Genomic DNA, 12,109 nt, shown 5'->3' with positions numbered 1-12,109 from the left:
GGACTATTCACCGTTCTGCTCTTCTCTTCCTCTTGCCCCTCTCCGTCTTTTCCTGCTAATTCCAGATTACCTTTAAGATCTTAGTTTGGATGTCATTGTCCTAGGGACACCCATCTTGACACCTATATTATATTAGGTTAATTTTTCCAGAATGTGCTTTCATAAGACAATCTATACTTCTCAGCATTTAACATAATTGTAATGAATTAATTACTTGTGTAATTATTCTTTAATGCCTGTCTTCTTCACTAGATTGTAAGCCTTCTGAAGGCAGAGACCACATCTGTCTTCTATTGCTCTGGCTTCTAGGACAGTGCCTGGAAAGTAGTTGTTTAGCCATAAGTATTTATTGAATGAATACAAGGGCTGTGCTGTGCTAGGTTCTCATTCATTCAGCAGACATCTGTGGAGCACCTGCTCTGTGCCAGCCCCTTGGCATGAGAGGAAGGTGGGACATACCAAGATTAACAAATCGAGGAAATCGCATCTGCTAGAGGAGCAGGAACATAGACTCCTGTAACTGTAGCCCATGGCAGGAAGTGGAGAGTAAATATGGAGATGAAGTTAGAAAGGCAAGTAGGTGGTTTTTGATGCTGCTTTCTTGTTCAATAAATTGAGTACCTGCTGTGTGCCGGGGCTGGGCATTCAGTAGTGAAGACGAGAGAATTCCTACCTTCAGGAAGATTATAGTCTAGCAGGGAAAAGAAGCAAAGAAACCTTTTCCTCCTAGGCCAACAGGTATTTATGGAGAGAGTAGGTGAGCACTTTGAGGTGGTCCTTTTGGTCTAAGAATCTGTATTGAGACTTCACACTTCATTAGACCTGGGCGAGGCAGTTAAAAATACTCTCATTAACCAGAGTGAAATTCCAAGGGAAAAGGAAGGGAGGATAAGGAACATTGTTTCCTCTCATTGCATCTGTGGTTAATTCAGGCTCTGAAATCCTTCCCATGGGTCATGGACCTATGGTTTCCTATCCTAAGTTGGAATATGTGCAGTTAAATACCTAACCATTCTCAGTGTGCCATTGTCTCATTTGATTCCCACATAGCCCTCTGAGGTGCACAGGCAGGAATGCCTATTTTTCAGCTGGGCAAACAGGCTCTGGAAGGCAGACTTGCCCAAGGTGACACAGTTTGAACTGGGAAGGGATCAGAAATCTCTCTGGCTGGCTGGGTGCGGTGGCTCATGCCTGTAATCCCAGCACTTTGGGAGGCCGAGGTGGGCGGATCACGAGGTCAGGAGTTTGAGACCAGCCTGACCAACATGGTAAAACCCCACCTCTACTAAAAATACAAAAAAAAATTAGCCGGGCATGGTGGTGCACGCCTGTAATCCCAGCTACTCAGGAGGCTGAGGCAGGAGAATCACTTGACCCCGGGAGGCAGAGGTTGCAGTGAGCCGAGGCCAAGATAGTCCCATTGTACTCCAGCCTGGGCAACAGAGCGAGACTCTGTCTCAAAAAAAAAAAAAAAAAAAAAGAAATCTCTCTGGCTCTGAAGTCCAGTTCACTGCCTTCCCTAGAAAAGTGGGAGAAGGTGAAAAGGAACTTAAGAACCTGATCTCCCTGTATCAATTGGAAATTGGGCAAGTTGTATTTAACAGAAAACTCCCAAATAATAGTGACTTAAATATGGTAATGTTTATTTCTCTCTCAAGTGAAAGGAAGCCAGAGGTAGACAGTTAAGGTTGATGTGGTAATTCCACAAGATGGCTGCTAGCAGAGCATTGTTGGAATGAGGGTGAAGGCTGGGCTGTTCTTTTGATCCCTTTTCCTTGTTCCTTTTTGAATCTCCAGGACTTTGTATTCAGCCTTCTGCATGGAGCTGGCCTCACGTGGCTTTGTGGTTGCTGTGCCAGAGCACAGGTGAGGGATGAGCCGCCATGGATTGGGTGCCTGCAGTGAGCTAGGATATAGGCTAGTCCCCTATCAATGTACTATTTCTAACCCTCTCGACAACCGTGCAAGCCAGCATTATACCACTTTTAAAGGAGAGAAAACCAAGGTTTAAAGATGTTAAATAATTTCCCAAAAGTGACATAGCTGAGTTGGAATTCAAACCCAGGTCTGTCTCTAAAATCTGTATTTTTTCCACTTCCCTATGCATGCCCCAGATCTCCTTCCCTACTAGCCAAAGGGTGATCTAGAGCCTCCTGGATGAAAGGGAGGCTTTGGTAAAGGGGAAAAATAAACTCAAGAATGTTTTCTGGTTTCTCTCTGATGATGTGTGTATTTCAGGGACCGGTCAGCGGCAACCACCTATTTCTGCAAGCAGGCCCCAGAAGAGAACCAGCCCACCAATGAATCGCTGCAGGAGGAATGGATCCCTTTCCGTCGAGTTGAGGAAGGGGAGAAGGAATTTCATGTTCGGAATCCCCAGGTAAGTTTGTGCCAGTTGGGGAGGGAGAGTTAATGAGCCTGTTCTCTCCCTACTATATTTGATAGCAAGACTTTTAGTTAACCCTCTCTTGAAATGTCAGTCATAGTGGGTCTGAGTTTGCCACATCAGTGGAAATACATAGGATATTAATCAGGACTCTTGCAATTGCTGTGACAGAACCCCAACTTAGGCTTACCTAGGCAAAAAAGGGAATGATGGGCTCATATAAGTAGACTGTAGGAAGAGAAGGACAATTGGAACCAGACTTAAATGCCGTCAGGATTTGTTCTTCATCCTCATTTCTGTCTCTCTCTTGGTTGGTGGGTCTCATCTTCAAACTGGCCTACTTTCCAAGGTTAGAACCATAAGTTGTTTTTTTTTTTGTTTTTGAGACAGGATCTTGCTCTGTCGCCCAGATTGGAGTGCAGTGGCATGATCATGGCTCACTGCAGTCTCAATCTTCTGGGCTCAAGAGATCTTCCTACCTCAGTGTCCTGAGTAGCTGGGACTACACACATGCACCACTATGCGCAGCTAATTTTTTTTTATTTTTATTTTTTTGGGACAGAGTCTCACTCTGTCACCCAGGCTAGAGTGCAGTGGCACCAACACGGCTCAATGGCAACCTCAATCTCCTAGGCTCGAGTGACCCTCCTACCTCAGCCTCCTGAGTAGCTGGGACTACAGGCACACACCACCACACAATTTTGTTTTTTTAGTAGAGACGGGGTCTTGCTATGTTGCCCAGGCTGGTCTCAAACTCCTGAACTCAAGCGATCCTCCCACTGTGGCCTTCCAAAGTGCTGGAGATATAGGTGTGAGCCACGGCACCCAGTCAGAACCACAGCTCTTGACAGCTCTGACCTTGTGTGTGTTCAGCCTTGTCACCTATGAGAATAGGACTGTGTTTGAGTTGCTCCCTCAGTCCCTTACCCTGGTGCCAAACTGCAGTTTGAAAAATCCTGGAGAGGGATTCCAGGCCTGGGGAGAAGTAACAAAATGGGAAGTTCCCACCAGAAATACATTGTTAGAATGGGAGTGGGAAGGCCATCCTCAAAAGCCAGGGTTAACAAGAGAAGGAAAGGGGGTAAGTGCTTGGGAGACAAAAACAATAGATGTCTGATGTAAATGGGCAGTGGAATCCAGTACTGGTTTGCTAATAACAGCACTCTTAATTCCTTTTGTTTTTAAAATGCTTTCATGTACATCATCTCATTGGATCCTTCTGACAGCCCTGTGGTTATGTAGTTAGAGTCAGAACAACAGGGCTGAGTCTGTTCTAATGTTAGGCAGTGCTTATGTGAGCTGCAAGGTAGCTGAGCCTTCTCAGGACATGGCACCCAAGGTGCTTGCTGAGGCGTGGGTGGGTAGACTATCTGTGCATTCTTCCTTGGCTCTGTACGTGAGGGAGATTCTCGCTGGACAGTTGTGGAGTGTTCCAGTCCCACTGGGACTGTCTCTGTTGCAGGTGCATCAGCGGGTAAGCGAGTGTTTACGGGTGTTGAAGATCCTGCAAGAGGTCACTGCTGGGCAGACTGTCTTCAACATCTTGCCTGGTGGCTTGGATCTGATGACTTTGAAGGTATGGAAGCAATTGGTATGACCTAGAGCCCAGTATTCAGGGTTTTCTCGGTTACAAGTAACAGAAACCTAACTAACTGGTATGAACCAAAAGAGAATTGATTGGCTCATATAACTATCAAGAAGATCAAAGGCCAACTTTAGGCCAGTGTAGTTAGACCCAGGGTCTCAGACATTGTCATCAAAGCCCTGGCACTCTTCTCTCCCCTCTCCTGGCTTGGTTTCTCTGTATATCTGTGGTTTTCTCACCAGACTCTCTCCTTTAGGCAAGAAAGGTGGTCGCTAGCAGTTCAAGCCTGCACACCAACTTACAGCTCCAGTTTTTTTGCTTTTTTTTTTTTTTGGAGACAAAGTCTCGCTCTTGTCCCCAGGCTAGAGTGCAATGGCACAATCTTGGCTTACTGCAACCTCCGCCTCCCGGGTTCAAGCGATTCTCCTGCCTCAGCCTCCTGAGTTTCTGGGATTATAGGCGCCTGCCACTGTGCCTGGCTAATTTTTGTATTTTTACTAGAGACGGGGTTTCACCATGTTGGCCAGGCTGGTCTCGAACTCCTGATCTCAAGTGATCCGCCCGCCTCGGCCTCCCTAAGTGCTGGGATTACAGGCGTGAACCACCACGCCAGGCATCAGCTCCAGGTTTAAAAAGAAAAGAGACTGTCTTAGCTTCCACTAATCTGGGAAAGCTGTGACCCTACGTGGGTCTCATGCCCCTCTGGGCCAGTCCCTTTGTCAGAGGGAGAGGGTATTCCGATTGGCCTGCCTAGGTTACATTCTCACTTCTGGGTCAGGTGATTGACCACCCACAGGACCAGATGGATGGCGGGGAGAAGATTCAGGCTACTGAGCAGCAAACAACCTGTGTCCACTGCAGGCTCAGTCCTTCCTTTGAGGGAATCCCAAGAACCCTCCCGGGAGGGTATAAAACCATCCTGGCCATGGAATTTGGTGCTTATGAAGATACATTCTTCATACCCCACCCCCACCCAATCTTTTTTTCTCCATAATTTCAAAAGTCATTCCGGCTGTATTCAGAGAACCAAGAAATTTCACAAAAGCATGAAGAAAAATGAAAAACCTTTTTCAATATTTTGATATTTGTCCTTCCAGTTATTTTTACATGTATTAATATGTGTATATTTTTTTTACACAATTATGTTATCATTTAATACAAGCTGTTTTGTGGCCTTATTTTCATTTAGCAAGACAGTATGAGTATCTTCTTATGCCAATTAATATTTTTGTATGGCATGATTTAAAAAAAATTTTTTTAGAGACAGGGTCTTGCTATCTGCCCAGGCTGGACTCAAACTCTTAGGCTCAAGCAATCCTCCTGTATAGCTTGACCTTTATTATTTGTTTTTATTTATTTATTTTTTTGAGACAGGGCCTCACTCTGTCACCCAGGCTGAGGTACAGTGATGTGATCACCACTCACTGTAGCTACCTCAGCCTCCCAAGTAGCTGGGACTCCAGGTGTGCGCCACCATGCCCAGCTAATTTTTTGTATTTTGTAGAGATGGGGTTTCACCATGTTTCCCAGGCTGATCTCAAACTCTTGGGCCCAGGCAGTCCACCTGCCTTGGCCTCACAAAGTGTTGGGATTACAGGTGTGAGCCACTGCACCCAACTGCATGATTTTTAATAGCCATATCATATTGTATTGTATGAATAAGAATGGTGTGTGTATGTGCATATGTGTATATATATGAATATATAAATAAATATATATAAAATATATATATATATATATATAAATATGGCCCAGTGCGGTGGCTCACGCCTGTAACCCCAGCATTTTGGGAGGCTGAGGTGGGTGGATCACAAGGTCAAGAGATTGAGACCATCCTGGCCAACATGGCGAAACCCCGTCTCTACTAAAAATACAAAAATTAGCTGGGCATATAGTCCTGGCTACTTGGGAGGCTGAGGCAGGAGAATCACTTGAACCCAAGAGGCGGAGGTTGCAGTGAGCCAAGATCGCGCCATTGTACTCCAGCCTGGTGACAGGGCGAGACTCCGTCTCAAAAAAAAAAAACTTATATATTTACGATTACTGCTTTATGAGACTTGCTATTTCAAGAGCTCCTCCCACAAACTTATGCAGTAAGCATTCATACCTCTTTACATAGAAAGAAACTAAGGATCAAAAAGGCTAAGTACCCAAGATTACCCAGCTAAGTAAGTGGTAGAGTCAAACATGAAATTGGGGCTTTTTGATTCTACAGCCTAAGCTGTGTGCCCCAAACCTTCTTCAGAACATATATTTTAAAGGCTTTGGTAATATCCTCCAGGGAGAAGCAGTCTGCCTGCATGCCCAGTAGGTAAGGCAGACCCTGGAATCTAGAGTGCTTTACCAACTACAGTGTTTGTATCATCAACCCCCACGAGACTTGGAGGTGCCCTGGGCACTGAGGTCCAGGCCTGAATGCCTGAGAAAGGCACTGGGAAACCAGGCTCATGCCTGTAATCCCAACAGTTTGGGAGGCTGAGTCGGGTGGATCACTTGAGCCCAGGAGTTCGATACCAGCCTGGCCAACGTGGCGAAACCCCATTTCTACTAAAAATACAAAATTCAGGCCAGGCGTGGTGGCTCACGCCTGTAATCCCAGCACTTTGGGAGGCTGAGGCGGGCGGACCACCTTAGGTCAGGAGTTCGAGACCAGCCTGGCCAGCATGGTGAAATCCCGTCTCTACTAAAAATACAAAAAAATTAGCTGGGCATGGTGGCAGACACCTGTGATCCCAGCTACTTGGGAGGCTGAGGCAGGAGAATCGCTTGTACCCGGGAGGCAGAGATTGTAGTGAGCCGAGACCACACCATTGCACTCCAGTCTGGGCAACAAGAGCAAAACTCCATCTCAAAAAAAATACAAAATTTAGCTGGGCGTGGTGACATGTGCCTATAGTTCCAGGTACTCGGGATGCTGAAGCACGAGAATTGCTTGACCTTGAGCCTAGGAGGTGGAGGTTGCAGTGAGCCAAGATTGTGCCACTGCACTCCAGCCTCGGTGACAAAGCAAGACTATCTCAAAAAAAAAAAAAAAAGGCATTGGTAAATGGCAGGCTACAGTCCAGTTAGATTAGTTAAGAGGGCAGCCTTTTAGGGGAAAATACAGCATATTAAAAAAGCTAAGTACATTTTCATCTATCAAATTGAGTAAGATCCAAAAATTGATTACTCACTCTGTTAACAAAGTTGTGGGGAAGTAGATATTCTCCTACATTGCTGGTGAGAATACAAATTGTCCCATGGAGGACATGTGGCAATTGATATCATCAACAGTACAAATGCATATGTTTCTTTGACCCAGTAATTTCCAGTTTGGGGAATTTATCCTACAAATAAATACCTGCACACATGCAGCATGATAGATGGACAGTGTTATTCATTCCAGCGTTGTTTGTTATGGCAAAAGTTTGATAGTAACCTAAACATTCACCAGTGAGGGAACTGGTTTAATTATGGGACAGTGGATGTATTTGCTTGGTTAATGCTAATTGCTAGAGTGTGTAAACGCCACATTTCAGTGGCTTAACACAGTATAAATGTATTTCTCTCCTACATAAAGTTCAATATGGGTGCTCCTGTGTAAGAGGCAACTCAGGGATCCCTGCTCCTTTTATAATCTCATATGGCTCTACCCTCTCACAAAATTTGTGAATCCCAAATTTGTTGTTTGCATTAAGCCAACAGAATGGGAAAGGGCATAGAGATTTGTATGAGACAATTTATGGACCAGGTCTGGAAGTAGAGATATCACTTTTGCTCACATTCTGTTGGCTAGAACAATCACAAGTCCTTATCTAACTGCTGGGAAACAGTTTAGCTGTGAGACCAGGAAGAAGAGGAAAAGATTTGGTGATCGGCTAGCTGTCTGTACCATGGCCAAGTCACTGTGAAAAAGGATGTGGAAACACTTTATATACTAATGTGGTTATGTACAAAAATATACAGCGCCAGGTGTATGAAAAGAGGGAAAGTGTATATATTCATGTTGACTTATGAATATAAGCAATCTCCTTAGGGGCACATAAGAAACTGTTACCTGTTTGGAGGTAGGTGGCGGGCAACTATATAGAAAAAGACAGGGGTAGGTAGGAGATTTCTTTGTATACCTCTGATTTTAGAGGTATATGAATATATTAACCTATTTTTTTTTAATGTTGAAGAGGCCATCCAACCAAGATGCTGATCCGAGGGTACTGAGTGAAGGGGGAGGATTTAGGTACAAAGCCTTGGAATAGACACTGGGGAGAGCAGAGCAAAAGTTCAGAGCAGAGGCTGGGCTGTAGAGCCTGGAGAGGCCTCCAGAGCCCCTTAGCAAGCAGCTGCAGTGGCTTTTTATATAACCATACCCTGAAGGCTTCTGGGGACGACTAGAAATAGATACGTGTGAAGCATGTTAGAGTGCACAGACTCACTCTTCCCCTTGGCTTTGGATAAAAATCACGACATATATCCAAAGAGGAAGTAGAACCTGCACTGGCAGTCTTTGCTCCAGAGTACAATGGATGGGCAGCAAGGAGCATCCCCGTTTCACCCTCAGCTCAGTCCATGTGTCATGGACCCTCGGACCAGTTTATAAGGCAGAGATTCTAGAGGATGGAGGTGGCCCTTATTCTTAACATGCTCATAAACTGATGGGTCAGTGTGGAATCTGACCATTTCGAGCCATTCATTTCTTCATAGATTTTTTTTTTTTTTTTTTTTGGAGACAGGGTCTCACTCTCACCCAGGCTGGAATGCAGTGGTGCAATCATGGCTCACTGCAGCCTCAACCTCCTGAGCTCAAGCGATCCTCTCACCTCAGCCTCCTGAGTAGCTGGGACCATACTTGCACGCCACCATGCCCAGCTAATTTTTGTACTTTTTTGTAAAGAGAAGGTTTTGCTGTGTTTGAGCCCTGGCTGGTCTCAAACTCCTAAGCTCAAGCAATCCGCCCGCCTTGGCTTCCCAGAGTGTTGGGATTACAGGTGTGAGCCACCACACCCGGCCTATTCATAGATATTTGAATGTCTGCCCTGGTCCACTATTGTTAGGTGGTGAGATTACAAAAGTAAACATGAGCCGGGCGCGGTGGCTCACGCCTGTAATCCCAGCACTTTGGGAGGCCGAGGCGGGCGGATCACGAGGTCAGGAGATCGAGACCCCGTCTCTACTAAAAATACAAAAAATTAGCCGGGCGTGGTAGCGGGCGCCTGTAGTCCCAGCTACTCGGGAGGCTGAGGCAGGAGAATGGCGTGAACCCGGGAGGCGGAGCTTGCAGTGAGCCGAGATCGCGCCACTGCACTCCAGCCTGGGCGACAGAGCGAGACTCCGTCTCAAAAAAAAAAAAAAAAAAAAAAAAAAGTAAACATGAAAAGTGTGATTCTCACAATTCCTGCCTACACAAGGCTGTTCAGTCTAAGGATTGCTTGACTGTTGCCCCTTCCATAGGTAAGAGATTCTTGACAGTGTGGTGTTGGTGGACTCACTTGCTGTATTGTGCCTTTGGCCTCATTGCCTCACTATTTCTTCCTCTTGCTCCTGATGAATTCCTAAAGAAGCAGTCCTGAGTTTCTGACTTGGCTAAGTTCTCCACTTTCCTCAGGGCAACATTGACATGAGCCGTGTGGCTGTGATGGGACATTCATTTGGAGGGGCCACAGCTATTCTGGCTTTGGCCAAGGAGACCCAATTTCGGTGAGTTTCCTAGTAGTGTTGCTGTGCTTAGCTCCATACACCGTTTATTCATTTAGAAAGTATTTGTTACACAAGTACTATATTCTTGGCACTGTTTAGGGACTGAGGATTCAGCGGTTAAACAAGAAAACAAGATCTCTGATTTCATGGGATTATATTATTGTGGGAGGAGACAGACTAGTGAAAAAGCCAACCGATAATAAAATCCCCATGACCAAGTGCAATGAAGAAAAATAAAGCTGAGCATGTTGGCTTACTCCTGTAACCCCAGCGATTTGGGAGGCTGAGGCAGGAGGATTGCTTGAAGCCAGGAGTTTGAGATCAGCCTAGGAAACATCACAAGACCCCATCTCTACAAAAAATTGAAAAAAACAAAACAGCCAAGTGTGATAGTGCATGCCTGTAGTCCCGGCTACTTTGAAGCCTGAGGCAGGAGGATCACTTGAGCCCAGGAGTTCCAGGTTACAGTGAGCTCTGACCGCACCACTTCAGCCTGGGCAATAGAGCAAGATCCTGTCTCAAAAAAAACAGAAAAAAGAAAACAGGCTGATATGTCTCTGAGAAAGTGAAATCAAGACTGGGAAGGCAAAGAAGCCAGTCGTGTGAAGATCTAGAGGAAGATCTTTCCAGCCAGCAGGAATAGCTAATGCAAAGGCCCTGCAGTGGAAAGAAGCTTGCTGTGTTAGGGTGGGAGGAGCGTAGTGAGTGAGGGGGAGGCAATTTAAGCTGTGATCAGAGAGAGAAGCAGGGGCCAGATCACAGGGTCATCTGGCCAGGGTAAGGAGGTGTATATTTTATTCTACGTATGATGGGAAACTGTTGAAGATTTTCAACAGAGAAATATCAGTCTTACATTTTAAAAGATCCTTCTGGCTACTATGTGAAGAATGGATTGTAGCAGGACAAGACTGAAAGCCTAGAGGCTCATTAGAGAGATTCTGTTTCAGAGTCAATGTGAAAGATGATAAATTTACATCAGGATTGAGATAGTGGGATGGAGAGAAGTGATTGGAGTCAGGATATGTCTTAGAGTTTTCAGGATTTGGTCATGTGGGAGGTGAAGGAAAGAGAGGAAATCCAGGTTTTTCTTCTTATTTTTTTCCCTCTGAGACAGGGTCTTGCTCTGTTGCCCTATGCTGGAGTGCAGTGGTACAATCAGCTCACTGCAGCCTCAACCTCCTGGGCTCAAGTGATGCCTCAACCTCTCAAATAGCTGGGACTACAGGTACATGCTACCATGCCCTGCTAATTTTTTAATTTTTTTTTTTAAGAGATGGTGTCTTGCTATGTTGCCCAGGCTGGTCTTGAACTCTTGGGCTCAAGTGATCCTCCTGCCTCAGCCTCCCAAAGTGCTGGGATTACAGGGATGAACCACCATGCCCAGCCCAAGGTTTTTCATTTGTGTATCTATTATTTGAGTGGAAGATGATTGTCCTTTATTGAGATGGAGAAGAATAGAGGAGCATTTCAGGGGTCTGAGGAAGGAAATGGCAAAATCTTAAGGCCCATAATATTGCTCTTGGTGACATGGTTTTGCTGTTGGCACCAAGGAGGCTTTTCCTGACCTCACATAGAACCTTGTGCAATCAGGGCACTAAGTTATATTGTTTTGCCACTTTGTCTATTCTGTCTTCCCTGCTGGACTGGGAGCTCCTTGAAAGCAGGAACACTCATTTATGTCTATATCCAAAGCACATAGTAGACACTCAATGAATGTTGAATGAATGAATAATTAAATGAATGAAGTGCCATTCTGTGGAACTCAGGTCAGTCACCTGAGAGTAGATCCAGGAGAAGAGGGATATCTGATCCTTGTTCTCAGAGAGTTTGAAATCTAGAAGGATCTTTGGTGAAAAGTAAAAGTGATCCCTACCTAAGATCCTGACTGAAGGCCGTGGGCCCTGGTACCCCCCTCCTGGCTTTCTGAGCCTTTACCCCACCAGAGGGAGGAACTCCGCCCTTCCCTCCACCACCCTAACTATTCTTGCCTGGGATCCGCATGGCAATTCCAAATGTCTGGTCCTATTCCAGGTGTGCGGTGGCTCTGGATGCTTGGATGTTTCCTCTGGAACGTGACTTTTACCCCAAGGCCCGAGGACCTGTGTTCTTTATCAATACTGAGAAATTCCAGACAATGGAGAGTGTCAATTTGATGAAGAAGATATGTGCCCAGCATGAACAGTCTAGGATCATAACCGTTCTGTGAGTAAACCACAAGGTCGTGATCCCAGGGCCCTCTCCATTTGCCACTTGCTGTGGTGCCCTTAACTTCTGGATTACCCAAAACTTTCTACCCATTAGTAGGATACCTGAATACTTCCTGAATTGCAAAGTCTAAATTCTTTTAGAATTTTCTGTCTGTCCTTCTTCTCCACTGAGCTCCATCTACAGTGATTTATTCCATAGTTTATCTGACTTTATGACAGGATTTACCTAGTACTTTCTGAAAAAGGGCATTATGGGGT

General features: G+C 45.4%; 1 protein-coding gene across 6 annotated transcripts in view; it reads left to right on the top strand.

The window, feature by feature from the left end:
* PAFAH2 (platelet activating factor acetylhydrolase 2) overlaps positions 1–12,109 on the top strand; it is a 38,297-nt gene that overhangs the window by 11,738 nt on the left and 14,450 nt on the right. For all 6 annotated transcript variants that reach the window (XM_047421701.1, NM_000437.4, XM_006710670.4 and 3 more), the window contains 5 exons: positions 1,798–1,866; positions 2,239–2,380; positions 3,849–3,962; positions 9,553–9,644; positions 11,676–11,846. In XM_047421701.1, the coding sequence (XP_047277657.1) occupies positions 1,820–1,866; positions 2,239–2,380; positions 3,849–3,962; positions 9,553–9,644; positions 11,676–11,846 (566 nt within the window). In that variant the 5' untranslated portion in view covers positions 1,798–1,819. The remainder of the gene's footprint in view (positions 1–1,797; positions 1,867–2,238; positions 2,381–3,848; positions 3,963–9,552; positions 9,645–11,675; positions 11,847–12,109) is intronic.

The sequence above is a fragment of the Homo sapiens genome, chromosome 1, assembly GCF_000001405.40.
Source record: "Homo sapiens chromosome 1, GRCh38.p14 Primary Assembly".
In the NCBI taxonomy this organism is placed as follows: domain Eukaryota; kingdom Metazoa; phylum Chordata; class Mammalia; order Primates; family Hominidae; genus Homo; species Homo sapiens.
The sequence above is the reverse complement of the archived record's forward strand: the minus strand, read 5'-3'. Positions and strand labels throughout refer to the sequence as shown.